The sequence below is a fragment of the Homo sapiens genome, chromosome 12, assembly GCF_000001405.40.
Source record: "Homo sapiens chromosome 12, GRCh38.p14 Primary Assembly".
Lineage (NCBI taxonomy): Eukaryota > Metazoa > Chordata > Mammalia > Primates > Hominidae > Homo > Homo sapiens.
The window spans coordinates 101,525,404-101,539,865 of NC_000012.12; the positions used below are offsets into that span (position 1 = coordinate 101,525,404).

General features: G+C 41.8%; 1 long non-coding RNA gene across 2 annotated transcripts; it reads left to right on the top strand.

Moving 5' to 3' along the window:
• Positions 1–966: 966 nt before the first annotated feature.
• LOC105369935 (uncharacterized) lies at positions 967–8,877 on the top strand. 2 transcript variants are annotated; one of them, XR_945261.2, is made up of 3 exons: positions 967–1,038; positions 6,921–7,005; positions 8,578–8,877. It is a non-coding gene; the product is annotated as an uncharacterized LOC105369935 (long non-coding RNA). The 2 variants fall into 2 exon arrangements; XR_945260.2 differs by lacking the exon at positions 967–1,038 and adding an exon at positions 3,540–3,627.
• The last annotated feature ends 5,585 nt before the right edge of the window (positions 8,878–14,462 follow it).

Genomic DNA, 14,462 nt, shown 5'->3' on the forward strand with positions numbered 1-14,462 from the left:
GATCTGCTCCAGACCTCTCTCCTTGGCCTGCAGGTGATCACCTTCTCTCTGTGGATCTTCATGCATGGCAACACTCATGTGGATCTTCTCTCTGTGTCTTCCTTCTATGCATGTCTGTCTCTCTGTCCAGATTTCCCCTTTTTATAAGGATACCAGTCATATTTAATTAGGACTCACGCTATTCTAGTATGACCTCTTCTTAACTAATTACATCCCTATCGACTATGTTTCCAAATAAGGCCACATTCTGGCAGGGCATGGTGGCTCACGCCTGTAATCCCAGCACTCTGGGAGGCCGAGGTGGGTGGATTACCTGAGGTCAAGAGTTCGAGACCAGCCTGGCCAACATGGTGAAATCCCATCTCTACTAAAAATACAAAAATTAGCTGGGTGTGGTGGTGGGTGCCTGTAATCCCAGCTACAGGGAGGGTGGGGCAAGAGAATCACTTGAACCTAGTAGGCAGAGGTTGCAGTGAGCCGAGATCATGCCACTTCGCTCCAGCCTGGGCAACAAGAGCAAAACTCCATCTCAAAAAATTTTTTAAAAATAAAAATACAAAAATTAGCCGGGCGTGGTGGCGGGTGCCTGTAATCCCAGCTACTGGATTGCTAAGGCAGGAGAATTGCTTGAACTTGGGAGGTGGAAGTTGCAGTGAACCAAGATTGCTCCACTGCCCTCCAGCACAGGCGACAAGAGCAAAACTCTGTCTAAAAAGAAAAAAAAAAGAAAAGGAAAAGTCCACACTCTGAGATATTAGGGGTTAAGACTTCAATATATGAATTTTGCAGAAACATAATTCAATCCATAACACACCCACATAGAACTTTGTGCTCTGTATCATAATTGCATCATATTTAATATATTTCATATCTTCCAAACTGTTAATGAAAATGACAACACCTCTTTTAGGTTAAATATTTACTCAAAATATTATGCCATTTAAATGAATCAAGGTTTAGGAGAATATCTACTCAAGAAGAAAATTGAGAGTGAAAACCGTCTCTCTAAATTGGAGAGCTGAAGACTGAAGAGGACAGGTGAGTTCTGCGCTGTCACATGGTGAGGTGAACTTTCTATTTCCCCTATTCAATGTGTTCTTTTTCAACTCTCATAGTCACAGTGCTGGAAGCTCTTTGATGTCCTGCCTTGCAGACTTCATCTCTCCTCTCCCAGGGCTCTCTGCCTTTAGTAGATGTCTGTTAGCCCTACATAAATAGTTGTCTTGGCTCTGGCCAAAGCATTCAACGTTAATTAGTCCCTGTGCACTGACTGTAAACTTTTGGACATGATGCCTGATTAATTTTTACAGCTTCTTTTTACCTTCATTGACTTTTTAGATGTTGTTTGAATACAAATCTATACATCTAATCTGCAAATCACATCAAATCAACATTATATAAACAAATTGAGGACAATTTTAGAAACAGAACACTTTGTTTTATGAGAATAGCAGAAACAAAGCTTGAGCTAAGGATGTGGGTGCTTTCTTACCCAAACCTCACCCTAGAGGATTTCCCTTAATCGCTTGTCTTGGATCCCTTGATCACCGTATCTTTTCCTTAAAAATGGAAATTGCTTCATCTTTTATTTTCTGGTTATATCCACATAATCTATATTTATAAAAAGTTCATAGGCCAGACGCAGTGGCTCTTGCCTGTAATCCCAGCACTTTGGGAGGCCGAGGTAGGTGGATCACTTGAGACCAGTAGTTCAAGACCAGCCTAGTCAACATGATGAAACTCCATCTCTACTAAAAATACAAAAATTAGTTGGGCATGGTGGCACACGCCTGTAATCCCAGCTACTTGGGTGGCTGAGGCACGAGAATCGCTTGAACTCTGGAGGTGGAGGCTGCAGTGAGCCAAGATCGCACCACTGCACTCCAGCCTGTGTGACAGAGTGAGACTCAGTTTCAAAAAAAAGAAAAAAAAGTTTATCGACTAAATATAAAGACTCAATAACCACCATTTTAGGTCTCCTTTTTCTATACACATAAACACATGCAAATACTTTATAAAATGATGCCATAACTTACACTGTTTTGTAACCGTCTTTTTGCATGGAAAAATTTCATATGAATGTATTTCCTTGTTGACAAGCAACACTTCGTATCATCATTTTATAGCTGCATGGTGTTCATTTGTGTAGCCGTCTTATGATGGACTCAACAGATTGAATCTCCAGTCTTTATCTGTGACATTTGCCAGTAAGGTTTTCAAATTTCATATTAACTTTTACCTCTTTCCTAGGGGGCCGGCCCTTTTAGAGTTCAAATTGCAAGTTTAGCAATAAAAATAGAAACCCAGAGCACTGACACCTGAGCTGTAACTCATGTCAGGTCACATCCTGCTGCAGAGTGCCACCACTTTTCCACTGTGAAACATCGCTTGACCAGATTCTCAAAATAGCACTCCCTCTTTTTAGCATGCCGGCGTCTGGCTTGTGTTATCTGGCTCTCTTGAGCCACCAGCAAGAGTTCTCAGCTCCTAGGCCTTGGAGTCCCTCTGCCCCTGTGCCAGACCAGACTTAGCAATCAAGGCACGACGTCGGGGAACTGCAAGCGATTGGGCCTTTGGGACAGCGAGTGGGAATGCAGACACACAGAGCCGGCCAGCTCCCTGTCTCCACCCGTGGCAAGATATCCTGGTGTCAGGCATAGGAGTATTCTGAGTTGGGGATAAAAGGTCAGGGGTACAGGCTTATGGTGTGATCTAAACCCAGCCTAACCAGCTCCCATTTTGTACATGCCGTTATCTGTAAATTATGGAGCAGGTTTGGCAAGGTTATACATTTTTCTTTTCTTTTCTTCTCTCTCTCTCTCTCTTTTTTTTTTTTTAGAGGTGGGGGGTCTTGCTATGTTGCCCAGGCTGGTCTCAAACACCTGGGCTCAAGTGATCCTCTCGCCTCAGCCTCTGGCATACCTGGAACTACAGGTATCTGCCACCAGGCCCAGCAGAATTTTCAATTCTTTAATTATTACTAGAGGTAGTAAACCTAGTGAAAGTGCATGAGCTTCAAAATCAGACTGTCCTGGATTCAAAACTAGCTCTACCACTTATTATTCGTGGAACCCTGCACATAAGACACTGGATACACACTTACAGAGTAAGTGTATTGAGTATATATGTTTGTGAATTTGTTTTCCCAGCTGTAAAATGGGGATGATAATAGTACCCATTTCATAGGGTTGTTGTGAGGACAAATTGATGAATGTATAATTGGCTTACAAAAGGTACTCCGTAAATTAGAGCTGCCAGAAGAGAAGAGATCTTAGCACTCTTCTTACTGAGTCCATTTTAGAGTCCTCATGCTGGATTTATTTGTTCAACAAATAGTTATTAAATAGGCACTGTATTAAGTACTGAGGAGACATGTTGACTAAGACACTGTCCAGGGGTGGGATCTAGAACTATCTCATTCATTGAGTACATAGTTATTCACTGACCACCCCTCCTTTTTTTTGAGACAGGGTATTACTCTGTTGCCCAGGCTAGAGTGCAGGATGTGATCATAGCTCACTACAGCCTCAAACTCCTGGGCTCAAGCAATCCTCCTGCTTCAGCCTCTCTAATAGCTGGGACCCCAAGTGTGCACCACCACATCTGTCTCCACCGTCTATTAATCAGGTACTGAGTACACTATCATCTTCCTCCAAAATGTCTCTTGTGTTTATTTACTTACCTCCATCTCCATTGCCATCATCCAGTCAGCCTCCTAACTGATCTCCCTACTTCCACCCTTGACTCTTTTGTTGTCGTTGTTGGGGGGACAGGGTCTTGTTCTGTCACCCAGGCTGGAGTGCAGTGGCATGATTATAGCTCACTGCAGCCTCAACCCCCTGAGCTCAAGTGATCCTCCTGCCTCAGCCTCCCGAGTAACTGGGACCACAGGCACACACCACCATGCCTGGCTAATTTTTAATTTTTTCTAGACAAGGGGTGTCACTATGTTGCCCAGGCTCATCTTGAACTCCTGGAATCAAGTGATCCTCCTGCCTCAGCCTCCCAAAGTGGTGGGATTACGGGCATGAGCCACCGTGCTTAGCATCACTCTAGACTCAAACCATTTCACAGCCAGAGTGATCTTTCAAAACTGTAAAAGATTGTGATCAGATCGTGCTGCTCCTTTATTAAAGCACAAACCCTCATTCACAATAAAATGCAAATATTTTACCTTGGCCATGGGGCCTTGCATGACCTGGCCTCTGCCTACCTCTCCAGAATCAGTTCAGCCCACCTGTATCCATTGTCCTCTATGTCCCACAGCCTGTCAGCTCCTAGAACTGGCCAAGTTCTTTCCCACCTCAGGGCCTTTGTAAATGCCATTGTCCCTGTCTGAAATGCCATCTCCTAGGCTCTTCAGAAGACAGGCATCTTCTCATCCTTTATACATCAGCCTAAACATCACCTCTGCAGAGTGGTCTTCCCTAATGATCATCATTTACTCCCTAAGACAGCAGCCTTCTTACTGTGTTATACAATCTGCATTTATTGTTTTTACGTATTTGCTTATGTATTGTGTGTCTCTCCCACAAACAATATAAGAATATAGTTTCTTATAAGACACTAAGAATATAAGCCCTGTGAGGGGAGGAGCCTTGTCTTTTATTCATTGCTGCTTCTTTGTTGCCTAGGATTGTGTGTGTCACATAGTAGGTATTCGATAAAGATCTGTTACATGGAAGAATAAATGGAGGGATGTCTGCTGTTTGAAAACCTCCAGAAAGTATATGGCCATATCACCCAGAATGGGCCTGATCTTATCTGAAATCCTCCAATGATAGAAATTCTGAATCTTGGCCGGGCACAATGGCTCACACCTGTAATTCCAGCACTTTGGGAGGCCGAGGCGGGCCAATAACTTGAGGTCAGGAGTTCGAGAGCAGCCTGGCTAAGCCTGGTGAAGCCTCGTCTCTACTAAACATACAAAAATTAAACAGGCATGGTGGTGGTGGGCGCCTGTAATCCCAGCTACTTGGAAGGCTGAGGCAGGAGAACCACTTGAACCTGGGAGGCGGAGGTTGCAATGAGCTGAGATTGCGCCACTATACTCCAGCCTGGGCAGCAGAATGAGTGAGATTCTGCCTCAAAAGAAAGAAAAAAAAAAATTCTGAATCTCAGGTTGGCATGCTCCAGGATAGAAATCTTTTGAGGTGAAAAGTTATTATTCTGTTGGGCTAGTTATTTTTTAAAAATCGATAGAATGTTACCTGGAGGGGAAAAAGGGAGAGTCTGTTTCCTTTAGGAGAATAGAAGTGAGGACACTCCAAGCAGTAGATTAAAAAAGGAATTTGTATTTAGGGACAGGACGTGTTACTTCTTACTCAACAGGTCCACCAAATACTGTCCACTGTCCTGGTGGGGAAGAGGAGGGCCGGTGGAGTCTGGGTCCTGGCTTCCCATTCCTTAGCCCACCACATAGGAGCCGGGTGACCACGGGCAAATTAGATAATGGCTCTGAGTCTACTTCAGTGAAAAATGGACCCCCAACTCTTCTGTAGGGCAAGTGCTCAGTGCATGTTAATTAATAATTATTCTTTTTATTCTGTTAAAAAGATTCCTTGGACACATTATTTCCTGTTTAAAAGACTCCAATAGTCAAGGCTTAGCATTGCACTGGGCATGTCAGAGACGCTTAAAAAGTGGGATGCAACATAGAAAAGTGCCGTGGTCAAACCTGAGCTTGCATCAGTGTCGGCTGGGGGTGAGGGGGCTGGTTAAAACCTATGGCTGGACACCCCCACCATGAGTTTCTGATTCAGCAGTCTGGTGGGGCCTGATCATTTGAATTTCAAACAAGTTTCCAGGTGCTGCTACTGCTGCCTGGGGCACCACACTTGGAGAATGACTGACACAGTGGTTAAGTCACCCACTCTGGTGCTAGACTAACTGAATTCAAATCCCAACTATACCTCCTCACTAGACACGTGATCTTGAGCAAGTTGCTTAATCCTTCTGGCCTCAGTTCTTTCGTCTGAAAATGGAGATAATAATACAGCCTTCCTCGTGAGGTTGTTACGAAGTTTAAATGAAGTCTCACGTTAATAAGCATTGATTGTTATTTGTTAATACATGCCAATTAAAATGAATTAGTAGTAGTGCTAGCTTATAGAATTTTCTGGAATTATGGAAATGTTCTATTCTGTGCTGTTCAATCTGGTAGCCACTAGCTACAAGTGGCTATTGAGAATTTAAAATGTCGCTGGCACCACTGAAAACCTGAATATTTAATATTTTTTAATTAATTTCAATTTAAATATCCATATGTGGCTAGTGGCTGTCATTGGAGAGCACAGATGTCTGCTTGGAGTTCCTTCTCAATATGTGTGCAGAGCCTTCTTGTGGTAGTGCTTTGAAAAGCTGATAATGCTGGGTAAAGGCCGGCTAATGTGTGGGTCTACCACTTTCTTTCTTTTTTTTTTTTTTTTTTTTTTGAGGCGGAGTCTTGCTCTGTAGCCCTGGCTGGAGTGCAGTGGTGCGATCTCAGCTCACTGCAAATTCCGCCTCCCGGGTTCAAGCAATTCTCTACCTCAGCCTCTTGAGTAGCTGGGATTATAGGCACGCACCACCACGTCTGGCTAATTTTCGTATTTTTAGTAGAGACAGGTTCACCCTCTTGACCAGGCTGGTCTTGAACTCCTGACTTCGTGATCCACCCGTCTTGGCCATCCAAAGTGCTGGGATTACAGACGTGAGCCACCGCGCGTCTGGCCCGGATCTACCACTTTCTAACCATATGATCTTGAGCAAGTACCTCAGTTTCTTAGCAGCATAGCCTCATCTGTAAAATGGGAATAATAGCACTTGCCTGACTGACTTCTTCAAAAATGCTCTATGTATTTTAATGTGATGACTAAAGTAATATGGTAAACCCAATACAATTGCAAGGATTTTTTTAAAGCAATATTTCACTTCTTCAGATTTTCTTTTCCGTGATCTTCTTCAAGGACGAGAACTTTATCATTCAGCCTTCTATGTCCGTAGTGCTCATCTGCTCATCACACGGTAGGTCCTCATAAATGTTTGCTCAGTTAAAATGCAGCTTCCAGGTCAGGCGCAGTGGCTCACCCCTGTAATCCCAGCACTTTGGGAGGCCAAGGCAGGTGGATCACTTGAGGTCAGGAGTTCAAGACCAGCCTGGCCAACATGGTGAAACCCCCTCTCTACTAAAACTATAAAAATTAGCTGGGCATGGTGGTGGGTGCCTGTAATCCCATCTGCTCTGGAGGTTGAGGCAGGATAACCCGGATGCTTGAACCCAGGAGACGGAGGTTGCAGTTAGCCGAGATGGTGCCATTGCACTCCAGCCTGGGTGAGAGAAAAAGGCTCTGTCTCAAAAAAAAAAAAAAAAAAAAAAAAAAAAAAAAAAAAAAGTAGCTTCCATACCAAACGTCTTTTAATTTGGCCTGTTATATAAAGATGTTCTAAAATATGTGGTCAAAAGGAGGAACTATGTATGTTAATTAAACACACCAATATACTTTAAGAAGTTATTGTCTAAATGCCTTTCTAAAGTGATATCTATTTTGTCCCAATTACAAATTATTCATGGTTATTCCTAAAACTGGTAAATGCAGAATATTATAAAGAAAAAATACAATTCACTAACAATCATAACCCTCTTTGACATTTTGAGACATTTCTTTCTAATTATATGAGTGGGACTGGGCGTTCACTCATTATTTATTCAACAAACATCTTTTTAGTAGGTGCTACGGGCCAGACACTTTTCCAGGTGATGGTGATACAGCAGTGACCAAAACAAACAAATAACCTTTGCCATCATGGTGTTTACATTCTAGTAGATGATATTTAAAGACTCAGGAAAATATACAAATTTAACAACTAAATCAGGCTAATGATTTTGTTATTGTTCAGTAAGGTGTTTATTGTTTCTTCCCTTTCCTATATGCTGGGAGCATTTTCCTTTTCTTTTTGTTTTTTTTTAAGCAAGATTGTCATTACATTGCTTTGTGAGCCAACATAAAGGCCTTGCTGGGGTAAAAGGAAAACTCAATGTTTAAATTATGACTTCAGGAAGTTTATCCCACGGTGTGATGTTCTTAGCAGACCAATGACTGCCCAGTGGAGGCCTCAGAGTGAATTCTGGAGTATCCTGTCCTGAGAGCCAGACAATCCGAGTCCAGGACTCAATGTTCATGTCTCAGGTTTTACCAAGTTGTCAGGCATCACCGTTTCTTCTTATGACTCTGAAACATTTATTTTGGTCTTAAAAAGAAAGTTTCCTGGAGTTAACAGAACGCATATTGTTTGTAGTGCATCATCTTCTATTCCTGCAAGACTAACCTGGCTAATTACCCTGCCCCTTTGGTGGTTCTGATGAAAACAACTAAAACTTAAATCTTGAAAGAAGCTTCAGAGTAGTGAGAATCATGGAGGTGGTTGGAGGGTGGGGATGGAGCAAAGCTCATCCTGTGATGGGTATTGTCGCCCCTGGACAAAGAGCGAAAGGACAGTGGGTCCCCTTCTATGTCTGGGCCACGACCATCGTGGCCTCCTCCTTTTCACACTGAGTCTCTCACTTCTAATTCCTCCCATTTCTCCTCTCTCCCACAGCCCCACATCCTTTGTCCCATAGAATCTGCAAAAAGGAAGAGAAGACTGTATTCCTCAAAATATCAAGGACGAGGATACTGTCTGACTTGGGAATAAACCAATGGCATATACGAAGGTGCTTAACATCACTAATCACTGGGGAAATGCAAGTCAAAACCATAATGACATAGCTCCTCACACCTGTTAAAATGACTATTATCAGAAAGTCAAATGATAAGTGTTCATTGAGGGTGTGGAGAAAATGGAACTCTTGTACACTGTTGGTGGGATTGTAAATTGGTGTGGCCATTATGAAAAACAATGTGGAGGTTGCCCATAAAACTAAAAATAGAATTCCCATATGATCAGCAATTCTACTTCTGAGTGTTTATCCAAATAAATTGAAATCAGTATTTCGAATTGATATCCACACTCCCTGTTCATTAAGGCATTATTCACAATAGCCAAGACATGAAAACAACCTAAGTGTCCACTGATGAATGAAGAAATAAAGAAAAGGTGGAATGTATACATATACAATGGAATACTGTTCAGCCGTAAAAAATAAGAAAATCCTGTTATTTGAAGCAACATAGAAGAAACTGGAGGACATTTGCTAAGTGAAATAAGCCAGACACAGAAAGTCAAATACTGCATGATCTCACTTATATGTGGAAACTAAAGAGGTTGAACTCATAAAATCAGGAAGTACCAAAGGAGGTTCCCAAGGGCTGGGGGTGTTGGAGAAATGTGGGATTTTGGTCAAAGGATACAAATTTTCATTTATAGGATGAATAAGTTCTGGAGATCTAATGTACAGCATGGTAACTATAGTTCATAACAATGTATTGTATCCTTGAAATGTTCTGAGAGAGTAGATCTTAAGTGTTCTCATCACACATTAAAAAAGGTAGGTATATGAGGTAATGGATAGGTTACTTAGCTTCACTGTGATAATCACTTCACAATGTATATGTGTATCAAAGTATCTCATTGTACACTGTAAGTATACACAAGTTTTATCTGTTAATTCTACCTCAATAAAACTGGCAGGGAGAGAATAAATCCATGAATGAATACAACTGCTGGGTAGAGGGAGGTGTTATATTAATAGACACAAAGGTAAGTCATCAAGAGGCATGGTTTTTCTTCTGTTGTCTAGAAGGGAACAAAGAAGGTGTTGATTTGTTGTTGGTATCTGCCTATCAAAGCCCTAGCCAGGACAGAGTCTAGACATGAGGAGGCATTGCATACAATGAATAGCTCCACGGAGCTGTAGGTGATGAAGACAATAGCTAACTTGTCTCCCTGCTTTAGGATTTTAATGCTGATACTTTTGGATGACATCTCTGCTTCTCTTCTTGTTTTTCATTCCACATTCTTCAATGCATTATTCACCTTACCGACAGCCTTATGCAAAATGCAGCCATTAGCCACAAAGGGCTTTGCTACCAGATGGAGAGACAGTATAATGTAGTGTGAGATTGTGGATCGGCACTGTCCAACAGAAACAGAATGAAAGCCATGAATATCATTGCAAATTTTCTAGTAGCCATATTAAAAAAAGAAAAAGAATAGATTAAATTAATTTTAGTAATGTTGGTTGGGCATGGTGGCTCACACCTGTAATCCCAGCACTTTGGGAGGCCGAGGCCGGCAGCTTGCTTGAGCTCTAGAGTTCGAGACCTGCCTGGGCAACATAGCAAAATTTGTTCTCTACTAAAAACATAAACAAAAAAAAAAAAACAAAAATTAACAAGGCGTGGTGTTGCATGCCTGTGGTCCCAGGTACTGGGAAAGCTGAGGTGGAAGGATTGCTTGAGCCTAGGAGGTTGAGGCTGCAGTGAGCCCAGATCGCACCACTGTACTCCAGCCTGGGTGACAAAGTGAAACCCTGTCTCAAAAAAAAAAAAAAAAAAGGAAAGAAAGAAAGAAAAATTAATTTTAATAATGTCTTACCTAACCCTGTGTATTCAAAATATTATCATTTCAACACACAATCAATAGAAAAAATTATTGAGATTTTTATATAGCATTTCATACTAAGTCTTCAAAATCTAGTATGTATTTTATACTCAGAGCACATCTTAATTCTGGCTGGGCCACATTTCAAGTGCCCAACAGCCCCATGGGCTAGTATACACATAGAAGACCTAAGTGTATAATCTTGGGAAAATTACATAATCTCTCTGTGCTTCAGTTTCCTTGTCTATAAACTGGGAGAAGTTATAGTACAAACCTCATTTAGAATTGTTATGGAGATTAAAAGAGCACTTAAAACATTGCCTGGCACAGAGTTGGTGTCCAATAAATGTTAGCTCTTACTGTAATCAGATATAAGTTTAACCACCTCCTAATGATCAAAGCAATCTCTCAGTAAGGTCTGACTTTGGGGTTTCTAAATTAGAACCGTATGTCTGATATCTTAAGATGATGAAAATCATATGCCATTTCAAAACTCCTACCTCACTTCAAAGCTTAACACGGAAAGTTTGGTCTTGAGCTGTACTTTCACAGCTGGGCAACCTGTAATCTGACAAACTTCTTTACACCATTAAGTCTGCAAATAGACTCTTACTGAATTTTGAAAATAAGCAGTATCATATTTTTATTAGGATGTAAAATTAGGTTCACAGCTATAGAATTTTCCCAGCTTGTTTTTTGGTGATCTCTCAAGAGATTTAAACCCTACTTTACCAGGGTAAGAAGATAGTACTTGTCTTCTCAAAACTATGGCTTCCAGCCACAAATCCATATTAATATCACAGGATAACTTTGAGAGGCTGAGGTGAGTGGGTCACTTGAGGCCAGGAGTTCAAGACCAGCCTGACCAACATGGTGAAACCCTGTCTTTACAAAAAGTACAAAAATTAGCCGTGCTGGTGGCACGCGCCTCCCAGCTACTCAGGAGGTTGAGGTGGGAGAATCACTTGAACCTGGGAGGTGGAGGTTGCAGTGAGCCAAGATCGCGCCACTACACTCTAGCCTGGGTGAAAGAGTGGGACCCTGTCTCAAAAAATAAATAAGTGAATAAAAATAAAAATCACAGGATATATTTGAGGGCCTAAGCACCGTGATATGTAAATTGTGAGCTTACTGTCCAGTCGAGGAGAAAGACGTTAATTGAATAATCACACAAATAAACTTGCCAACTGGTATCATTGCTATTAAGAAGAGGAAAGGTTGCTCAGATTGTCTATGAGGAGGAAATTTGATTTGGTCAGTGATGTTTTCCCCTAAAGAAGTGCTGATGAGGCTGACAGCTGAAGGATAGGCAGAGTTAACCGGGTGGAGAGGGAGGGAAATGCATCCTAGGTGAGGAAACAGCATGAACAGAAATCCTGGTGTGGCAGGAGTGTGGTGAGATGGAAAGAGGGCAGTGGGCCTTACACAGAGAGTAAGGACAGAGCTGAGGTTTGACTGGAGAAACAGTAGGACCAGAGATAGCAGGCTCTTGACAGCTATTAAAGAATTTATATTTACATGGAGAACACTGGGAAGCTGTTACTGGGTCTCCAACACTTCAGGATGCTTTTCTTTGCTGGGTTAAACCACACTTTGATTCCTTATAATGGTGATTAAATAAAAATGTCAGTGCATCAAGAGATAGAGAGACTAGGCAAAGGGCTTCACGTGCCTTTTATTCCCTATCAAGTGCAACCTGACACTATAGCCATGTAACCCCTGTCTCTGGTCTTCCCTTCGGCTACCCTTCTCCAGTTATCCAACCAATTCTGAGCCTCTGTCTCAGGATTTCTGTCTTGACGTTTGGGAGGGCAGACAACAGATAAGTTGGACCGCAGCTTAGAGGTGAACTTCAGAAGAGACCAACTCTTCCAGACAAGGAAGTGAAGCTCTTACATGTTTAAGGCCGTGAGTCTCAGTTCTAGGTAGGAGGCAAAGGCAAAATACATAATTAGATTTGCCTTAGAAAAGACAACTGGCTGGGCACAGTGGCCCATACCTGTAATCCCAGCACTTTGGGAGGCCAAGGCAGGTGGATCACCTGAGGTTGGGAGTTCGAGACCAGCCTGGCCAATATGGCAAAATGCCCCCTCTACTGAAAATACAAAAATTAGCTGGGTGTGGTGGCACCCACCTGTAATCCCAGCTACTCAGGAGGCTGAGGCAGGAGAATTGCTTGAACCCAGGAGGCGGAAGTTGCAGTGAGCCGAGATTGCGTCACTGTGCTCCAGCCTGGTGATAGAGCAAGAGTCCGTCTAAAAAAAAAAAAAAAAAAAGACAACTAAATATAATGTGAAAAAAAATTGTTAGAGGAGCTAAAGAGAACATGCAGGGAGACAAGAATCCTATTTGCTATAGTCCAGGCAAGAGGTGATATTAAATATGAGGACAAGTAGACAAATTTGAAAGATACTTAGAAGGTCAGAACTGGACTTGGTAATGACTGGATATAGAAGGTAAGGGAGAGGGAGATGTCGAGAATAATTCCCAGAGTTTTCAGCTGTATAGCTGGATGGATGCCTGTGCCCTTCTTCAAGACACAGAGCACAGAGAAAACAAGATTTGAGAGAAAAGACTATGTGTTCAATTTTCGGCTTGTGGAATTTGAGATGCCTCAAAGATATCCAAGAAAAAATGTGGTGTAAGCAGTGATGTTAAGGTTCAGACCAGAGACACATATTCTCCACTAATACATGCACAATGTGACATCAACGATTTCTCTTTAGCTTTTGAATCACGTACAATATCTAGTTCAAACCCTTAAAGGTCTTGCTCAAAACGGCAACATGTGTGAAATCTCACTGGTTCATACTCATTCTAAGTGTAACAAAGGTCATATCAGAGACTCAAATCTAATCCAGATCAAGATTCTACCATGTGTCAGACGTGAGGGTTACAGACACGAGTCAACCATGGGCTTTGTCCTTGAGATCGCTGCTGAGAAAGAACATTCAGCCTCAAACTATAGGAGGCTCAATTGTGTCTACTTCTTGGCTCCTCCATTGTAATTCTTGCTACTGTCTTTTCCTTTCAGAGGAAGAGATCATAAACATTTTGAGAACAGAACTATGCCATTTTCAGTGATGTGCCCCTTAGGGCCAGCACAGTGCCTGGCCCATGGTATTTATTTAATAAGTATTTGAATGAATGAAGGGCATGCTTCCATCTTCCTTTTGGAATACAGTATTTCCCTATGAATATCAATCTGTTCTAGATAAAGATAGCAGATGAAATATATGCAATATTCTCCACGGTCTCCTAAATACCCCATTAAAAAGCCAGTAAAAGGGTTAAAGAACAGTTACAAACCCAAACAAGGACAAAGAGAACGGATGATAAGACTTCACCCACAACACTTTGGAAGTTTGAATGTACATTGGTAATTACTAACCGGCTTTAGCAGATCTGAGAAAACAGAAGCCCATGCCAGAAGCAGGGAAAGCCAAGAAGAATTGCATAACACTATCAGTTATCTGGGGAAGCATGAGGAGATGAGGCTGAAAATTGGAAGATCATTTAAAAGGCTGTTTTTAAGAAAGATTTTAATTCCTAGTGTTAATACCTGGAATGGTGCTTGGTACATAATAGAGGCTTGATAAATATTGTTATGTGGATGAAGAGGTAAATGAAATTCAGCTACACAAAACCTTGCATACTTAAAAACATTTTTATTTATTTATATTTTTTATTTTTGTAGAGACAGGGTTTCATTCTGTCACCCAGGCTACACTAGAATGGTGCTATCATAACTCACTGCAGCCTTAAACTCCTGGGCACAAGTGACCTTCCTGCCTCCCAAATAGCTAAGATTACAGGCTTCTGCCACCTCACCTGGCAATTTTTTTTTTTTTTTTTTTTTTTTTAGAAATAGGGCCTCACAATGTTGCCCAGCATGGTCTCAAACACCTGGCCTCAAGTGATCCTCCTGCCTCAGCCTCCCA